Below are 13,038 nucleotides of genomic sequence, written 5' to 3' on the forward strand. Positions count from 1 at the left end.
TATATATAACCTACGCATATGCTCTGTATACTTTAAATCATCTCTAGATTACTTACAATACCTAATACAATGCCTACACATCACTTCATTCAGGTGGACTCAGGTAGTACTTGGCACATAGCAAATTTGTTTTTCAGAACTTTAGAATTTTCTTTCCGAATATTTTATCTGAGATTGGTTGCATCCAGGGATGTGGAACCCACAAATTCAAAAAGCCATTTGTGTGTATGTATACATACAGCATGTGTATGCTGTGTTCTGGTGGGGAAAGAGGTCATGAAGAAGTGACGCAAGTTTACTGAGTGAAGAAACACACAAATTTTATTTAGAAAATGAATGACCATGTTTGCAATAAACTCCCAAAATATCCGCCATAAGATGGCCATAATATTCTGATGATCAAGGAGCACACATATACAAAAGTTATTGGATTACTGCAATTCTCAGAGGCACAAAACCTGACATGGTGTGATATAGTATATAATCAGTCACGGGGGGGAAAAGAACATTAAGTCTTTAAAAAGGCTTAGGAAGACATAAACAGTAAATCTTTGTTTTTCTACCTTCCTTTGGACAGTGTTATATTTCACTTTCTTCTTTGCAAAATGTTTCCAAATTCATTTGCTCAGGATTTATTTAAGATAATAACTTAAAACAACTAACAGTTGTTTATGCTATATGCATATCATGCATGTTCTACTGGTTCAAGGACAAAATTAAAACAAGATCTTCTCTGTAAAGCAAATATATTTATTATGCACTTTCATATACACAGGGATTTTTTGAGTAATATCATACAAGGGATAAAATAAAACTTTTACAATGTGAAATTCAATGTACATTTTTGGCTATTTACATACCTCAAACCAAGGGAAAAATAAAAAGAAAGCATTTGTTTGCAACTACATTTGCTGAGAAGTGTAAATGGAGGACATTAAGCAAAACAAATATTTGCATAGCCAAAACAATATTGAGAAAAGTATTTACTTCTGTTTTTTAAGTATCAAACTATTTTTGGTGAGAATTCCAGTGAGGGTGGGGGTGAAAACAAAGAACAAAAATTATTGGCTGTACTTTGCAGTACGCACTGATTTCAGGTCATTTTTCCTTCCAAAACCTTTCTTAGAAACATTCAGATTTTTATTTCATTACTGTATTTTTATCACTTTCCTTATTATAAACTCATGATATTTAGGGAATAGACACAGACGGAATGTTATAAAAATGTTATAAGCACATGCCATCATAGTTGTGTAGTGGCAACAGCTGATTTATAAAATTTAAAGATTTTAATTTCAAAAATATCTATTAAGGAGTTTTATATTTGGAGGACAATTTTTACTTTTTAATGGAGCAGAAGCCATTTTCATTTATAGTATTAAATCCCCCACAGAAACAAATAAGCAAGGCAGGGCATCTCCAGCACCCATCCTATCATCCTTATCCTAACTCAAAGTCATTTATGTTCTATTCCAAAACATAATTTATATAAAAACATCCCGAGGAATACTTACTTTTGAAAATCGTATTTTTCCAATAGGTTCTCTTCCTACCAATTGCTTCAAGTGTATATAGTATGGATATGAAAACAGTTAGCTCTTTGAAAAACATAAATCCCTTATGCAATGTCATATCTTCGCCCTTTGGACACAAGGTGCAATTTTGTAAAAACAATAAAATTAAATAAATACAATTTCAATAATTCAAAGTTAATAGAAAAACTGGCAGCTTTCAGGGTTCTCTTTCTAAAGAAAATTACATGTAATAGAAATTAGAGCTTCATCCTCTACAGTAATGTAAATGTACTGTATTTGAGATATGAGTAAAGTTGGTTCTAATAATAGTATGTGTTCATATTTATTAATAGACTCATTAACACTTTTAAGGCTACTTTGCAAGAGTCCCATTAATTTTATTTAATAAATGTCCCATAGGGACAAGAATTCAATACTTGAAACATTCACATTTGAGTTATTAATATTGCCATGTCACCTTAATATCAATTGAACTTATCAACTTATCTCGTAGTCCTCACTATGACTTATAGATGACAGACAAAATGAGTTTTGCTGACTTTAAAAAATAAAAGCAAGAAAAGCCTTACAATAAGATTCAAGTGAAACATTTATCATAATTATACATTTCTATTTCCACGAACAATGTATCACATGTGTCCTTCATATATGAAGATGACATTACTGACCTTTGTTATTAGGACATATTCTAAAGATTTTGTTCTAGAAGTAGCAATGGTTTTGTGCTGAATCTCCAAATTCTCTTTCCTCATTCCTCATCAACAGTACATGAAAAGAACAGAATTTCTGGGTTCTATAAGATTAACAGGCCCATTCTAAGATCAAATCCACAACCTTGGCTTCTAAACTGTTATGACAACTTTTCCAGACATATAAACGACCCATCTAAGCTACAGCTCCACTGATTTAAGAGTAAGGAGACTAAGGCTGTGGGACACATGCTCATTTGAACCAATTTTACCTTCCTTGTCATGAATTTCTCTCTTAACCCTGGCATCCAGCCCTCCTGCATGCAATTGTACAAAGAAGAAAACAGGAAAGAGTATGAGGATAGAAAAGTGCAAATCCATCACTATTAAGTAACAATAAAAAGTACACATGTGCTATGATTGACAGGGGAGTGGTGTCATCTGTGAAGGGCAGCACATTTTATATTCATCCAGAATATTCATCCAACCAAACCATTAAAATTAATCCAATTGATTTTGAGTGGGGCTATTTTGGTCATGCAGCAATTTACAAAATAGAAACCGCTGAGAGAGAAGCCAGCAAAATTAATTTATTTAGCCAGGAGGAAGAGGTCAGTTTAGTCAATGAATTATTCAGGGATCAAAAATCTACCCTTAGATAGACAGGTGCATTTCTCTCTGCACACACATGTGACTGAGGCATGGCTTTGTCCCTGAGAATTTTCATGCCTCAGGAATGATAGTCTGTCTTCTTAGAGGTGGAATGACAAAGTGAATGGAAGATGAAATTGTATCCCAGCGGATGAAATAGGACTTTGTTCTGCCTACAGACTGGTTGGTTGTTTGTTCTGACATGTTTAGCCAGAGATGAGAAGAATTCTACTGGGAAAATCCAGATTTAAACTACTTAAAGCAGCTCCCTAAACTACTATAAAATATTTTTTTTAAACTGCCAAGAAATCATTTTTTCATTTCAATGTGATATTTATATAGAAAATGATTTTTATCCAATGCTGAAGGTGTAGTGAACATAGAACAGTTGCAAGATTTGTTTTATTGAGCAACGTCTTTAAAGATACAAGAAACAGGCCATACACTACAATGCAATGTGACTGAAACAGTATGTTTAAGTTTCTTTTGCCACAAAAAGAAAAAAAAATAAATACAAGGAACACTGCCTTTTCATATATATTTGATTATGGCACATGCACATTTTTTATCACATCTTAACTTAAAATACTCAAATTTTCTTTTCAGCTTTTATCAGGGAACTGCAGTATGTATCTGCATTTTTAAAAAGTGCTTATTCCTGTGTAGTGAATACAAAGCACACAAAATGAAATTTTTTAAGCACAGAGGGTTACATTGAGAAGGCAGCCTTACTATTTAGGCACATTACAGTAATTAAGGTAACTGTACTGCAGAGATCACATTCTTCATTTTTTTTGTTTTTTCAGCAAATCAACAGGCATATGTTTCCATCCAGTAGCTGAAGAACCACTCCATCACAATGTCTTCTGTTTCACAGAATAGGAAACTAATGCAAAAGTTAAAAAAAAATTATTTTCTACATTGTATTATACAGCTACATATCATTTTAAAACTTTATTTAATACATTTACCTCTATATATCTTTATCTATATATTTACCATGCAAAGCACAAAGCAGACTTAACTATTATTTAACTTATAAGCCACTTTTTAAATTCCACAAAATGTTTACCTTAATTCTGGTGTTTCATTTTTAATACGTATTTATATTTTGCCTTTAAAACAGATATCATGAGAGTTGAAAGGGTGCACCATCAGAACTAATTATTTTAAAAACGAATTGCATTTGGGGACTGAATTAAGTACTTTATTCAAATTATTTTTGAATGACATTTGGTCACCCCTAGATTCACATTGAAGGCTGTTTATTATTAGAATATATGAGGAATTTATCTATAATAGTGTTTCACCTATTATATCCCTAAAATATATTTACAAAGACAGAAGCAGCAAAAAGGAAAGAGTATATATAACTTTGTTAGAGGAAGAAAAATCATTAAGCAAAGTGGGATAAATATAGCTGCAGTGTATGCTAGGAAAGACCCCTAATAAAATCTTCAGATTTATCTCCAATACAGGAAATGAGCTTCTGAAAAAGTATCTAAAATATAAAACTTACATACCTATTTTCCCACTAACATCCCCTATATTATTAATGAAGTATCCTTTGTTACAGGAAGGAGAAAAAAAAATTTATTTAACAAATATGACTATTTTATCCAGGTATAAAGTGCCCTAAATACCAATATTGCAAAAACATCCATTTATCATTTTTCACGTCTATGCCTTATGTGTGAAAACATTACTTAGAAGAGTCTCAAGAGATCTGTCATCATAAAAACTACCTTCTACTAAGTTTTTGACTTCTTTCTGAGTGAAAAGGAATGAAATTAATATTTACTATCTACTATGTGCTACAGACATTATTGCATTCAAACCAAAAAGATGAGTTTGAAACAGCCCCTCCCTCTGACACCATCAAAATTCTTTTAAAAGGAGGACATAACTGAATAGGAAAGAATTCTTAATCTGGGATCCATAAGTAGTATATTCATTCATTCATTCATTAGTTCATTCACTTATTCAACAAATTTTTACTGGGAAACTACCATAGGTCCAAGCACTATTCCAAGTACATGAAATACAGTAGTGAACAGATAGAAAACCCTACCCTCACAAAGGTTGTATTTTTAGTTCAGAGGAGAAAAATAATAAAGAAAACATCTGAAGTATTTTAAATAGTAAGTGCTTTGGATAACATAATGCACGCAAGGGGGAAAGGAGTGCTAGAGGCAGGAGAATTCTGATGTAAAGGGGTGATGAGGCAGGTCTGGCCCAGATGACATCTGAGTAGAGATTAACTGAGGGAATTGGCCTTGTGATCAAGGAAAAGAGCATTCCAAGTAGAGGGAACTCTACTTTTGTTTTTTACTCTTTATGTTGACAAAATATTACCTTTTATAATGGTGTTTCCTTTTTATAGTTGAAGCTAGGGTCAGAACCTTCAATCTGAAGCTTCAGAGCTTGTTTAAGGCTTAATTCTGTCTCTGAGGAAGGGTATCCCTCCAACACTTCCTGATGCCCTCTATCTTGCATTGTTCGTGGGACTGAAACCCTACCAAGAAAAACCTGGTTGCTCTGAAGATGATAATTTGGATTTGTCATTATTCCATTTCTCTTCTTCTGTTCCCCACTTTGTTGGTGAATAAGAAACTGCTGTTGAGATCGACCAATTTCCTGCTGAGCTGAAGGTATCATAATTTTGCATTGAGATTCTGCTGGCATTTGTTTAGGTGGTGCAGCAGTCCCGGATTTGGCTATAGGTCCTCTTCTATCAAACTGAGTCATTTCATATTCTAAAACCTTTGGCTGTGAAGAATTACTTTGTTTCGCTTTTTTCCCAGCTGATCCAGACTTGGCAGAATTTTCTGATTTCCCCCCTTTACTTGCTTTAGTTGACTTCAAACTGGGCTTTACTTGACTCCACTCAAATTCACTACTTGGTGAATTATGACTCTGTCCTAAGGACTGTGTTGTGGAAGATGGGGAAACAATTGACTGTCGACTTCTACTGCGTGGCAATGAATGCTGCTGAATTTGTTCTGTAAATGACAAGTTATGAAAGCTATCAATTGGCACTGTTTGAGCCGTTGCTGTAGATGAAGTAGTTCTCAAAGATGAATTTTTTGAGCTTTTCAGGGAATTATTTGACAGTGATGACTTCTGCCGGTCAACTGTAGAATCTGGAGATTCTGAAGGAGAACTAAAAGCATGAGTAGGCCCATTAGGTAAACCACGTAACGAAGGCTGCATATCCCCTCCACCAGTACTACCAGAGCTATTTGATTTAATTGTTAATGACTGCACTTTTGAAGACAATGACTGTAGAGGTTTTTGCTCCATTGTGTGAACAGGAGATGGGGAACAGCCATTCAAACTAGATGCACCATATTTTTCTAATAATTTAATTATCTGAGAATGTCCATTTTTGGCTGCAACACGCATAGCAGTGCGTCCAAATTGATCAGCATGGTTTGGATCAGCACCATGCTCTAATAAGACCTGAACAACATCAATGTGCCCTTCCTGGGCTGCAATACAGAGTGCAGTTGCACCTTGGTTACATGTATGGTCAACTACAGCACCATGCTCAATCAGAAGCTGAACCACTTTTACATGGCCCTGCCAGGCTGCAGACTGCAAAGCAGAGCGCTTTTCATTGTCTGCAGCATTGACGTCAGCATGGTATGCTATCAGGACCTGCACCATTTCCATATGGCCTTGCCAACAAGACACATGAAGTGCTGTCCTTCCTTCAGCATCACTTGCTTCTACGTTTGCACCATTTTCTAAAAAATATTCGGCCATTGTAAGCTGATTTTCTAAGGCCAAGATATAAAGTGTAGGCCGACCATCAGCATCTTTGCAGTTAACATCAGCACCATGGCTAAAAAGCAATTCAACAATGTCCCTGTGCCCTTCTAATGCAGCAACCCGCAGTGCATTTCTTCCATCATAACCTCTTTGATCAATGTTGGATTTGTTTTCCAGTAATATTTGAACACAATCATAATGACCCTCTTGTGAAGCTAATATGAAAGGGATTCGTCCATCATTGTCAATCTCATTTGTTCTAGCACCTTGTTCAATAAGTGCTTCACATATCAATCTGTGCCCTTCAAAAGCTGCCATGTGCAAAGGTGTCCATCCAGCATCATCTCTGTGATTTTCATCTAACCCTCTATCCAGTAGAGTACGTACCACCTCAACATTTCCTTGTGCTGAAGCTATACTGAGGACTGTCCTACCTTCACTATCAATACTATCCACAGCTGCACCCCAAAACAAAAGTGTATTTACAACTGATGCATGACCCATAGACGCTGCTGCTAAGAGGGGTGTACGGCCATTGTTATCTGTGTGATCTACATCTGCTCCCCCTTCTAGAAGCAAGTCAACCACATCAACATGTCCTTCATAGGCAGCTACCAGCAGTGGAGTCATGCCATCTTTATCACAATGATCTACTTCAGCACCTCGATCAATTAAAAGGCTAACAACTGATGCGTGCCCTTTACTTGCAGGCACACAAAGTGCAGCTACAGAGAGTGCAGTCCTGCCATCAACATCCTCATGATTTACTTCTGCTCCATGGTCCAGTAGGTGTTCCACAATCTCTCTATGTCCCATGTATGCTGCTGCTATCAAAGCAGTTCTACCTTCATTATCAGCTTTGTTCACTTCAGCGCCATGTTGTAGCAAATTCAGTACAATATCCTCGTGTCCTCCCCATGCTGCTGCTCTCAAAGCTGTTCGGCTATCAGCATCTGCACAATCCACTTTTACGCCAGCATAAAGTAGTGCAGAAACTACCTCAGTATGGCCACCCCAAGCAGCAGATCTTAATGCTGTCCAACCATCTTGATCAGTATGATTAATATTTGCTCCACACCCAATCAAACAATTAACCACCTTGGTATGTCCCTGTCTAGCCGCTAGAGTGAGTGGTGTATGTCCATGAGCATCTTCTATCTCTAAATCTGCTCCCCTAGAGACAAGTAAATTGACTACATCAAGACTGCCACTATATGCAGCATTAGCCAATAATGTTCTCCCATTTGAATCACACTGATTTACTGAAGCTCCATTATCTAATAATGTCCGAATGGAATCCTCTCTTTCTAAGGCTTGTCGAACTATGCATGATGTGCGATCGTCTTCACTGTTGACATGAGCCCCAGCTTTAACCAACAGCTGTAGCACTTCTTGTTCCTTGGGTATCAAAGTAGAAAGGGAATCTCTGACAGGTGTACCATTCCATATCATCCACAGAGCTAACTCCGCTGTCTCTAATTGTAAGTTTGAGTTAATTAAGTGCAATGCAAATTCTTGTGCTTCCAATGGTGTTAAATTCTTGGCTTGACAGGTATAACTCATAGCCAACATTCTGTGTCCTTCTGCTGCATTACATAAATACTTCTGAGTACAGTGTTTCACATCCAGAAGCCACTCGGCAAAACTATAATGAAACAGTATTTTTGTATTTCCTAGTCCATCAACAAGAAGTTTGGAGAGGATATCTAACTTGCGTTGAAAATCTTCCAAAGTTAACGACATGTTTTTGGTCCATACTGCGTGATATAATTCCGTTATGGTCAAAGGTCGGCAGGCTGCAAGAATCACATTCAAAATAGGCTGAACCTTTGCAAATTGTTTTCTTACAAAAAGTCTTTGGCACAGCCAGAGATATAAACCATTTAGAGTTCCTGGGATGTCACGAATTTCTCTTAACATAATAAAATTTTCTACAACTCCATCTAAAACTCGTTCTAGGTAAAGAAAGCATCCACTGCTTTTAATGTGCAGTTGATTTAACATCTCTGCAGTTTCTTTTGTGAGGTGTTGTCGCAAAGCTTCTTCTTGATCTAAACGATGAAGAATGTACTGCTGAACATCCTTGACGATATATGCCTTCCGAAGGTCATCTAAACTTATTTTTCGAAAACCTAAAGAAGAGATAAAAAAGTAGATGTAATCAGTTGAAAAGGATTATAGAAGTACCATATCTTCAAAGAGAATGTCAACATATAATAAATAAATCAATTAATAAATTAATACTAATAAGCAGATCAATTAATACCTATTAGTATGTAAATCAGTTTTCTTTTCTTTCTGCAAAAACACACTGATGGCAGAAAAATTTCATTTTCCTACCTACAAATTGAACTACTTATTCCTTTAGTAGCTTGGTGCCTCTCTCAACTCCATTGTAATAGATACTAATTAAGAAGCAGACAGTCTTACATAACCATAAAAGTACCCAGTTAACATCATCTGAACTCCCAAGTGATTGGGAAAAAAAGTTGCAGGAGACATAACAAGTAAGGTTTCTTTTTACAAAATCTCTTCCATATAAATAATTTATATATTTTCACCTATACACTTGAATATACACTAGCCTTAATTATGTGACTGAATATTTACATCCAATTAGAATATCCAGTCATTGTCTTTAAACTACATTACTGTACATTTTATCAAACTAAAATAACTAAATCTCAGACCATCAATAAATAGCTTGAACCAATTAAGATCCAACTTTTTGGCTAAATTATGGTCAAAAAACTTCAGCACTGTAAAATAAATAATAAGATTTAAACCAACCTAAAAATATACTAGCTATAGCTATTTTAAACTCATTTTAAGTTCTTTAAAGGAAGCCATAATTTCACTGTCTAAAGGCAGATGACATCATGATATACAGATATGAACTTATTAGACAATTGTGTATTCATCTTACAGAACAAAAAACTGCTAAGTGAATGAACTTACCAAGTCTCTAACATGACCAGATTTGCATTTTGAAGGAATATTCTAACATCTAAAGAAGAACTGGAGCAAGTCAAGACTAAAGGAAAAACGATTTTTAAAGAGGCTGTGATGCACTCTAGATGAAAATCACTATGAGCCTGAACAGCCATGGTGGTGGCAGCAGTTGCAGCAGCAGCAGCAGCAGCAAAAATAACGTGATGGACTTGGGAATTTTTAATAAGAGCTAGATTATACAGTGTTTGGTGAATGTGGAGAAGTAAAGAGAGAAGGACGAGTCAAAGCTGACACTAACTTGTGGCTCTGCCAACAGGACTGAAAAAGAGACCAGTGAAGGACAAATAATAGGTTTGGAGAAAAAGCTGATGAACTCAATTTTGTAATACTAAGCTTTAAGTATGTAGACAAAATGGACAGTTATTGAAAAATTAAAAACAACCTACCAAGAATAAAATATGAATAACAGTTGTACTAATATAGCCCTTTGTATATAGATTTATATAGCCCTAAATCTATATAAAAATAGAATCTAATTTTACATATATATGTATACACACACAATTGATTATTAAATCCTCAACAGAAATAATTTCAAAAGATAAATTTCAATTGTGAAAAAGTCACTGCTCACCTAAGGAGGGTTTAAAACATACCTAGAAATTTACAGCAATCTATATTTACCAATGATGTGAGATGATTTGCCTCCAAATCTTTTTCTGTGTGTCCATTTGCTTTTGACTTTATCAATTCACTTTAAAATTTAAGTTAGATAAGGGAAATACCTAGTACATTGCTAATAAAATAAGTTACTTAAGAAATAATATTATTTTACATTATATAGTGTTTTAAAGTTTCTGAAGCAATGTAATACTTTACATTACTTTAATGTAAGACTTTATATTACACTACTTGATTTACATGAAAGATAATACATTATGAATAAATATCTAAAATTTAAACCTAATTAACTAAGATGTCATGATTGGAACTTGAGATTATTAAGACAGAAACTCCACAGTAACAGGTAGGGTTCTACAGAAAGGAATAAAGGAGAGCTACATTTATTGAGAGTCAACTAAGGTAGTAGTTTAAGTATTCATTATTTATAAAACTTCCTTGTCTGTTAAGCCTGGGAGATAAATATTTCTATTTTAAAAAATGAGGAACCTAAAGCTCAGAAAGGCTAAATAAATTGCTCACAGTAACACAGCTAGAAAGTGATAAATTTTGATTGTTTTGTTTGACTTTGAAGTTTGCTCTTTTCATTAAGATAGGAACAAGAATAGAAAGCTGTGAAAGAAAACTCAAGTGTTTGACAGGGGAATGAAGAGGAGGGAGTAGGGACATAGGATTAATTCTATAAGAAAGTATAGAATTTCATAAAGAAAACTTACAGAGAATTTATAATTTAGAGAATAAATCTCCCCCCAATCTAAATACTTAATAATATGGATTTTAGATAGAAGAAATTACCATGTTCTTTACCAATGATGGTTATAATAGTTATCTGTTCATTAAAACAGAACTAAGAATATCTATTAATCAACAACTTAAATATCTTGAGTTACAGTACTGAAAATAATTACTTTTAAAAATTATAACTTCTGACTAATACACATGTAATCCTCTTATTATGAACACACACAATATATAGCTATCAAAGCACTTTTAAACATAAGATAGGGCTGAAAAATAATCAAAACTTCTAGGGGAATAAAAACATGACTTACTGAAATGATGGACCACCTACCTCCCTATTTCTTTTCTATTCTTACTTGAATAGAAGTATTTTTCTATTCTTTTCTATTCTTACTTGAACTTTTCTATTCTTACTTGAACTTTTCTATTCTTACTTGAAACATTTCTATTATTTTCTATTCTTGCTTGAATTATTTCTCAGGGTACCGCATTACGCAGTACTGGTGAAAACAGAGTGAAAGAGAAGACCTGTGCCAATATTTATAAATTGATGCTTACTGAAATTACTTATTATCATGAAGAACATATGAGGATAAGCAATACGAAAATAAAACCTAAAAATATAACAAGAAGTTTAAGCAAATGCCAGCATATTAATATACAAATAAAATATGTAGGCATTAAAATAGTCATTAAAAAGACAATATGGTGACACTGAAAGGTTTGTCAATGTTAAATTTAAAAAGCAGAAAATCAAATTGATATATAGCATGATCTCAACTAGGAAGGGGAACATATACAGAATTTAACACAACGTGTTAATAATAATTAAGCACTCTTATTAGTATCTGGTGTAATATTTGTGTATGTTGTCATTTAAAATATGTTCTAAATGGAGCCTGTAATACTTTTATAATCAGATAAAATAAACACATAAATAATCTTTTAAAAATCTTGGAGGGTTAATTTTTTGTGCACAAAATGTTTTGAAATAGGCTGCTATTTCTTTCAGTCCCATAACAAGGCCTAACAATGATCAGCCTATGAGAATACCCTAGTTGTAGTCAAAATTGTGCTTAGTGCCAAAGTCATTTTCATTAGATTAATCTGAAGCCATTAATGAAAATGCTACTGGTCAGTATAGTGAATACATCAGAAAAGTTATAAAAACTGTCTTTCCAAAGGCTTAATCCTCAGATATGAGTAGGTGAAGCCAATTTAGACATAGTAAAGATCTTAATGTTACTGGCTATGATGATACACGTGCAATTTTAATTTCAAATGCATACAACTAAAAACACATACATTTCAACTTAAAACGTAAGCAAAGACCAGAAAGATATGTGTAGGACATATAGAAGGATAACTGGAAAATCTAAGGAGAAACTTGAATAAATGCACAGATATGTTATGTTTATGAGTAGAAAGAAAGCATATTTTAAACAGCAAATTCTTTCTTATTTAAATTGCAATTTTATCAAAATCTTAATAATTTTTTGGTTTATATCACTGACAGTTATAATTTAAAATATGCTATTACAACCTAGAGGAGCACAGGTAAAAATATATAATTTAAAATAATAATAATGATGGCAAAGAGGGCTGGGAAGTAATTGCACAAGAAAATTACAAAAATTAAGCCAACATTTTATTTGCATAATAATGCTAACAGATAGTTTAGAAGAGCAGATGAATAGTTTAGAAATAGAGTAATAGTACACAGACATATCTATATGTACACACACCCAAACTTAATGTATGATGAAAAAAAATCACCAAGTAATTGTAAAGGAAGTCAATAAATTGCTGAGAAAATTTATGATTTTACAGATTATTCAAGTTAGAGCTTTATTTCATACCTTTTAGTAAAAAATAGTGTATATGGGCAAAATCATTAAAGGTAAAACTAAGAATACAGAATAGTAAAGGACAATACATTAGAGGTTACAAATAATATACTTCAAAATAATTATTACAATTTTAAAAAGCTGAAGAAAATAGTTGCAAAGAATTGA

General features: G+C 33.8%; 1 protein-coding gene across 4 annotated transcripts in view; it reads right to left on the minus strand.

Annotated features, from left to right (window-relative positions):
* Nucleotides 1-294: 294 nt before the first annotated feature.
* Nucleotides 295-13,038, minus strand: part of ANKRD50 (ankyrin repeat domain containing 50) — a 48,685-nt gene continuing 35,941 nt past the window's right edge. For all 4 annotated transcript variants that reach the window (NM_001167882.2, NM_020337.3, XM_047415992.1 and 1 more), the window contains 2 exons: nucleotides 5,231-8,781; nucleotides 295-3,761 (listed from right to left, as the gene is read on the minus strand). In NM_001167882.2, coding sequence (NP_001161354.1) covers nucleotides 5,234-8,781 — 3,548 coding nt within the window. In that variant the 3' untranslated portion in view covers nucleotides 295-3,761; nucleotides 5,231-5,233. The remainder of the gene's footprint in view (nucleotides 3,762-5,230; nucleotides 8,782-13,038) is intronic.

This window comes from Homo sapiens, chromosome 4 (assembly GCF_000001405.40).
Source record: "Homo sapiens chromosome 4, GRCh38.p14 Primary Assembly".
Lineage (NCBI taxonomy): Eukaryota > Metazoa > Chordata > Mammalia > Primates > Hominidae > Homo > Homo sapiens.